Genomic DNA, 7,232 nt, shown 5'->3' with positions numbered 1-7,232 from the left:
CCCACACTAAGGGCGGAAATATATAATTAGACTACAACTCCCAATGTGCCCGCGGGAGGGACAGATAACGCGATCCTGCGTGTCCTGGCTGGGCGAAGATGAGCCGCGCTGATTGGCTGCTGGCCGTCGTGTGAGCATGGCGCACTGTGGCACTGTGACGGACGACCAATGGAAGGGCTGAAGTCTAGAGGTCGCGGCTGGAGGCGTCAGTGCCGGAAGCGAGCCAGGCTGGGAACGTCCCCGCTGTGGCTTTGGCTGCCTGTCTTACTCAAGTTTTCATTATCTTCCTGGGCAGCTGATTGGCACGTTAGTAAAACGCAGCAGGACTAGCTTTCTCACTTATTAGTTCTCTAACTTTAGGCAAATCATTTAACGTCTCTGATCCTCAGTGAACTTGCTTGAAACTAGCTTTCCTCATCTGTTGAATGAGGGTGGTAATACCATGAGGTAATGTGTGCAAAGTGCTTTAAGGGCTTAAGAAAGATGAGTCTTGGGCCGGGCACGGTGGCTCACGCCTGTAATCCCAGCACTTTGGGAGGCCGAGGCGGGTGGATCATGAGGTCAGGAGTTCGAGACCAGCCTGACCAATGTGGTGAAACCCCGTCTCTACTAAAAATACAAAAAAAAAAAATTAGTCGGGCGTGGTGGCGCGCGCCTGTAATCCCAGCCACTCAGGAGGGCTGAGGCGGGAGAATCGCTTGAACTCGTAAGGCAGAGGTTGCAGTGAGCTGAGATCCAGCGAACCACTGCACTCTAGCTGGGGAGACAGAGCAAGACTCCGTCTCAAAAAAAAAAAAAAAAAAAGATGAGTCTCACACTTGTAATTCCAGCACTTTGGGCGGATCACCTGCGGTCAGGAATCTGAGACCAGCCTGGTCAACATGGCAAAACCCCTTCTCTACTAAAAATACAAAAATTACCCAGGTGTGCTGGTCCGCGCCTTAATTCCAGCTACGTGGGAGGCTGCAACCTCGCTTCCCGGGTTCAAGTGATTCTCCTGGATTACAGGTGCCTGCCAGCATGCCCAGCTAATTTTTGTGTTTTTAGTAGAGAGGGGGTTTCTCCAGATTGGCCAGCCTGGTCTCGAACTCCTGACCTCAAGTGATCCAGCCACCTCGACCTCTGAAAGTGCTGGGATTACAAGTACGAGCCACTTGGCCCAGGCAGTTATTTATTGATTATAAGCTAAACAAGGGTTGGATTATTCATGCCTCTGCTTTGTAGACCATATACAGTTAACTCCCTGATGTCGACACAGCATGTGGTAGGAGTATAGCGTTGAAGACCACCAGAGGTCACTCTTGTTGCCATCTTGGTTTTGGTAGGTTTTGGCCAGTTTCTTTACTGCAATCTGTTTTATCAGCAAGGTCTTTATGACCTGTATCTTGAGCCAATCTCCTATCTCATCCTGTGACTTAGAATGCCTAAACCAACTGGAAATGCAGTCCAGTAGGTCTCAGCCTTATTCTACCCAGTCCCTATTCAAGATGGAGTTGCTCTGGTTCACGCACCTCTGACAATTATGCTAAGTGAAATAAGCCAGACTCAAAAGGACAGATACTGTATGATTCCGTGTATATAAGGTACTGTCACCGGTGGAGGGTGTCCAGGTTCTTGGCATCTTGAACAAAGAATTGGACAAAACACGGCTGGGTGCAGTGGCTCACGCCTGTAATCCCAGAGCTTTGGGAGGCCAAGGTGGGCGGATCACGAGGTCAGGAGTTCAAGACCAGCCTGGCCAACATAGTGAAACCCCATCTCTACTAAAAAATCCAAAATTAGCCCAGCATGGTGGCGCACACCTGTAGTGCCAGCTACTCGAGAAGCTGAGGCAGGAGAATCGCTTGAACCCGGGAGGCAGAGGTTGTGGTGAACCGAGATCGCTCCGGGAGGAATGAAACAGGAGGAATGAACAACTCCAGATGCGCGGCCTTAACAGCTGTAACACTCACCGCGAAGGTCTGCAGCTTCACTCATGAGCCAGCAAGACCACGAACCCACCAGAAGGAAAAAACTCCGAACACATCTGAACATCAGAAGGAACAAACTCCGGACACACCACCTTTAAGAACTGTAACACTCACTGCGAGGGTCCGCGGCTTCATTCTTGAAGTCAGTGAGACCAAGAACCCACCAATTCCGGATACATAAATCTGCATGTGTGAGTGTGGATATTGTGTGAGTGTTAGAGTGGAGTACGTATTTGTGTGTGTGTGTGGAATGGTGGGGAGCTTTGTGTATGTTTACGTGTGTGTATGTGTCTGACCAGGGGGCACCTCGTCTGTTAAGCTGCCCTGACCTCCTTCTGCCCTCACTCACAATGCTCTGTCTCTCCTGGTGTCCCTCTGTGTGCTGAGCACAGTTCTGTCAGTGCCCCCCGACTTCCTTTATTAAACCTGACTGGCCTCGCTCCTGTCTCCATCCCCACACTGAGCAGAGACCTGGGCCCAGTGGCCTCACCTCCTCCAGTCTGGCATGCGTCGGGGCACGGCCCATATGGGGGTTCAGTCCATGCCTGTGGAATGAAAAGCCACCTGCGTTTGTGTCTGTGCATGTGTGAGTGTGGCTGTTGGAGCATGTGTGTTTGTGGCAGGAGGGAGGGCTCTCAACTGACAAAGCTGAGTGTTGTGTTTGGATGCTGGGCTTCTGTTTCTCACCCACAGGCCTCTTGCTCAGGGATGATCCTGTGACAAAGTGCAGACCATGCTTCATGTGGTCACTTGTGGACCAGGGTCAGCCAGACTGCTGAGGAAACTGGCCTGATTTCAGGTCAAAGTGTCTGTCCCTTAGCTGGACAGGACACGGGCTGCTTTGGAGAACTGCCCCCCACCTCCTGCTAATCCCTTGGGACTGGGATATCTGGGATTCCTATCCTCCCAACTGGTTCTGGAGTCAGTTCAATATTGCCAGACCACAGCTGGGCGTGGTGGCTCATGCCTGTAATTCCAGTACTTTGGGAAGTGAAGGCGGGTAGATCACTTGAGCCCAGGAGTTCTGCACCAGCCTGGACAACGTGGTGAAACTCCATCTCTACAGAAAATACCAAAAAAAAAAAAAAAAAAATTAGCTGGGCATTGTGGTGCGTGCCTGTAGTCCCGACTCCTTGGGACGTTGAGGTGGGAGGATCACCTGAGCCCAGGAGATTGAGACTGCAGTGAGCAGAGATCATGATACTGCATTCCAGCCTGGGCTACAGAGGAAGGCCCTGTATCAAAAACAAAGTAATGCCAGACCATCCTTAAAGTCCCATGTCTCTGCCAACACCACAAGCACAAGGCCTGAATCCCCAGTCCCTGAAGTCTGCCACATTCTCTGTGGGTACAAATTTTGTCTCTCTTTATTTGTTGTGTCTTCTATATACAGAAAGATGAGGCCCCATGCTCATTTCCCTCCGGAAGTCCTCTCTACTATCTCTCTCTTTCTTTTCCAACTCCAGAGTCAGAGACTTCTCCCTTTCCCACCCACTGAAACAGTCCCAAGGGGCAGGCATGGAGCTTAGTGGTTACAGCTCGGGCTCTGGAGCTCCACTATCTGGGCCTGAATCCCAGCTCCACTCCTGACAAGACTTTTTGCATCAGACAAGTGTATTCGGTAGGGTTTCTTCAGGAAATAAAGAATTCTCTTAAATGGGATAATTTGAAGGTGTTTCATAACAGGATTATACAAAGGAATGGGCAGGGTGTTGGTAAACCACAACGGATAGTGCATTACCCCAGATCTAATAACAGTGGGCTTTGTTACCCCTGTAAGGTCCAAGGGATAGGGAGAGAATGGTCCCTAGAATGGCAACTGGGGAGGTAAATGCTCAACCTCACCCTCTCCATCTCATCTCCTATGGGTGCCACTCTCCAAACCCTACAGACGCCACTGTGCAAAGCCGTCAGCCTCCTGGCCCCACAGCAGAGTGGAAAAGGAACACACCTTGCTACGGCCCAGTTCCCTCATCTGTAAAACAGCCTGTTGATCCTACCTTCTTTCTAGGTTGTCACAATGATAAAAGGAGATGGTGTCCATGAGGCATGAATGCTGTTCCAGCACACAGGAAGTGTGCTCGATGAACAGCTCCAACTGTCTGACTATGGATTTTAATGATTAACTGGCTTCTCAAATTTAGCCTGTCAAAACAGAAAGCTTGAATTTCCCCCTACTTCAAACCTATTTCTTCCGTAGTCTCAGTTAGTGGCGCTACCATCTACCCAACTGCTCAAGCCAGACTCCTCGACACTAGAAGCCGCCCTCTCCACGGCTGTTTTGCCGTTCCACTCTGCTGGCTCTTCTCCAAAATGCATCTCCAAGCCGTCCCCCTCTCTTCGTCTTCACTGCCAACATGCTAGTCCATCACCTACCACCTAGATTCTTCCTAAGCCCGCAGTAGTTCTGCCTGTACCTACCATCTGTTCTTTTTTTTTTTTTTTTTTTTTTTTTGAGACGCAGTTTTGCTCTTGTTGCCCAGGCTGGTGTGCAATGGCATGATCTCGGCTCACTGCAACCTCTGCCTCCCGGATTCAAGTGATTCTCCTGCCTCAGCCTCCCAAGTAGCTGGGATTACAGGCACGCACCACCACACCTGGCTAATTTTTTGTGTTTTTAGTAGAGACGAGGTTTTACCGTGTTAGCCAGGCTGGTCTCAAACTCCTGACCTCAGGTGATCCGCCTGCCTTGGCCTCCCAAAGTGCTGGGATTACAGACGTGAGCCACCGCTCCCGGCTACCATCTATTCTTTACCCAGCAGCGGGAGGGACCTAAACCATCAGTTGGATCATGTCCATCCCCTGGGTAAACCCACCACATTACAAGATCCTGCTCAGGTCCCCTATCTTCACTATGGGCCACGACCCTGCACTCCAGGCACTCAGCCTCATTGCAGCTCTTTGTCTCCTTGGCACCAAGCTTTTTCTTCCTCAGAGCCTTGGCATATATTATTTCTGCCCCCGCCCCGCCGCCATGGAAAACCCCTTTCTCCATTTGCCCCCACCGGTTCCTTCTCATCCTTCAAATTTCAGCTTCAAAATAATCACTTCAAAGAGGCCTTCCTCAACCATCTCATCTTGTCTAAAATATATCCTCTAGGTCAGGCATGGTGGCGTGCACCTGTAATCCCAGCTACTCAGGAAGCTGAGGCATGAGAATTGCTTGAACCCAGGAGGCAGAGGTGGCAGTGAGCTGAGATCGTGCCACTGCACTCCAGCCTAGGTGACAAGAGTGAAACTCCGCTTCCAAAAAAATAAATAAATAAAATAAAATACACCCTCTCTCTTCTCCCACTGGCTTCTGTGTTCCAGCACCCTGATCCACTACTTAGTAGCACTTGCAAGGTTTGTAGTTACATATTTATTTCTCTGATACTTGTTGATAGTCTGTCTCCCCACTATACTGTAAATCTCACAGAGGGCAAAGGCCCTGTCTGTTTTGCTCACTACTGTGTCCTTAGGGCCTGATACAGCGTAGGTGCTCGATAAAGATTGGACAGTGGGGAATGGGCAAATGGTAACTAATGAATGCTATGATGATGATGATGCTATCAAAGCCCTTCCAGAGAATCCCACCAGTTAGTATCAGCTGAACCCACAGCTAGTGTCACACCAAAAGTGGCATCAGGGCAGCACTCACAAAGGATGCCCCAAACCATCCCAAGATGGGGCTGGTTGGGATTCCAGTGAATGAAGCACTAAATGCCAGGGCAATCAGGCCAAAGCATACATTAGGGGAACTTACCTACAGAACAGCTACTGCACATCCTTGCTGTGGACAATGGGACAAAGGGTGTTCTACCCAGGTATGTTCTCAAGGAGGGGTTCGGGGTATGGTGTTTATAGGAGTGTTTAAGAAATTTGAAGCCAGTACTATGGCTCACACTTGTAATCCTGGCATTTTGGGAGACCAAGGCAGGAGGACCACTTGAGCATAGGTGTTCAAGACCAACCTGGGCAACAGAGTGACACCAGTCTCTACAAAAATAAAAAGTCAGCACCTGTGGAAAGAAAGGAAAAAAATATTTTTAATAAATAAAAATTTAAAAAGTAGCCAGGCATGGTGGTGCACACCTGTAGTACTGGCTACTTGGGAGGCTGAGGTGGGAGGATCGTTGGAGCCCAGGAAGTCAAGGCTACAGTGAGCCATGATCACACGAGTGCACTCCAGCCAGGGTGACAGAGTGAGACCCTTTAAAAAAAAAAGAAAGAAAACAAGGCTGGGCATGATGGCTCACACCTGTAATCCCACCAGTTTGAGAGGCCGAGGCTGGTGGATACTTGAGGCCAGGAGTTGGAGACCAGCCTGGACAACATGGTGAAACCCCATCTTTACTAAAAATACAAAAATTAGGCCAGGCACAGTGGCTCACACCTGTAATCCCAGCACTTTGGGAAGCTGTGGCGGGCAGATCACCTGAGGTCAGGAGTTCGAGACCAGCCTGACCAACATGGTGAAACCCCGTCTCTACTAAAAATACAAAAATTAGCCAGGCGTGGTGGTGCATGCCTGTAATCCCAGCTACTCAGGAGGCTGAGACAGGATAATCGCTTGAACCCAGGAGGCAGAAGTTGCAGTGAGCCAAGATCACGCCACTGCACTCCAACCTGGGCAACAGAGTCAGACTCAGTCTCAAAAAAAAAAAAAAAAAGAAAAGAAAAGAAAAAAGAAAAACAAAATTAGCTGGGTGTGGTGGTGCACGTCTGTAATCCCAGCTACTCGGTAGGCTGAGGCAGGAGGATCGCAGAGGTTGCAATGAACTGAGATTGCGCCACTGCACTCCAGCCTGGGCGACAGAGTGAGACTCTGTGAAAAAAAAAAGAAAAAAAAGAAAAAAGAAAAAGAAAAAAGGAAGGAAGGGAGGGAGGAAAGAAAATTTCCCTGGGGGTAGGAGTCTATAAGTTTAGCAAAATAGTCGATCTTTCAGTGTTTCCAGCAACAACCTAATCAAGTTTATCAGTGTCTGAGAATGTTCAAGGTACCATCTTGGGTTCAAACATGTAGGCGAAAACATGCAGCTGGCCAGGTTACAGAGTGGTGAAGGCACTCTGCATTTCTTGGTTGAGACAGAGAAAAAAAGTGGTCAGAACTGGGTAACCCTCCCCCCACCATATTATCACAGTGATCCCTTTTGTCTTTCTTCAGGCTCCAGCCCCACCCTACAGCCCCTGCTCCCTGGATTCACTAGAGCTAACTTCAGTAAAGTACAAAGAAAATGGGGCCATATGACTGGCCAAAAAAAAAATATCTATTCACGTGGA

General features: G+C 49.4%; 1 protein-coding gene across 2 annotated transcripts in view, besides 3 other annotated features; it reads left to right on the top strand.

Annotated features, from left to right (window-relative positions):
* Positions 135 to 264: an enhancer, noted in NCBI's record as "active region_1813". NCBI's record gives its function as "activates an Ori minimal core promoter by ATAC-STARR-seq in GM12878 lymphoblastoid cells {active_cell/tissue: GM12878}" and the evidence as "EXISTENCE:reporter gene assay evidence [ECO:0000049][PMID:35858748]".
* PKLR (pyruvate kinase L/R) overlaps positions 206 to 7,232 on the top strand; it is a 19,362-nt gene continuing 12,335 nt past the window's right edge. The window contains exon 1 of one of the 2 annotated variants that reach the window (XM_047422591.1): positions 206 to 306. The gene's annotated coding sequence lies outside the window, so the exon portion shown is untranslated. Of the gene's footprint in view, positions 448 to 7,232 lie in introns of both variants that reach the window. The other variant, XM_047422592.1, reaches the window with a different exon arrangement.
* Positions 1,167 to 1,236: an enhancer, noted in NCBI's record as "active region_1812". NCBI's record gives its function as "activates an Ori minimal core promoter by ATAC-STARR-seq in GM12878 lymphoblastoid cells {active_cell/tissue: GM12878}" and the evidence as "EXISTENCE:reporter gene assay evidence [ECO:0000049][PMID:35858748]".
* Positions 2,361 to 2,860: an enhancer, noted in NCBI's record as "H3K27ac hESC enhancer chr1:155275791-155276290 (GRCh37/hg19 assembly coordinates)". NCBI's record gives its function as "activates a minimal SCP1, AML or CMV promoter by ChIP-STARR-seq in primed H9 embryonic stem cells {active_cell/tissue: H9 hESC(primed)}" and the evidence as "EXISTENCE:reporter gene assay evidence [ECO:0000049][PMID:30033119]".

Source organism: Homo sapiens, chromosome 1 (genome assembly GCF_000001405.40).
Source record: "Homo sapiens chromosome 1, GRCh38.p14 Primary Assembly".
Taxonomy (NCBI): domain Eukaryota; kingdom Metazoa; phylum Chordata; class Mammalia; order Primates; family Hominidae; genus Homo; species Homo sapiens.
Note: the sequence above shows the minus strand (reverse complement) of the source record. Positions and strands in the feature narration are given on the sequence as shown.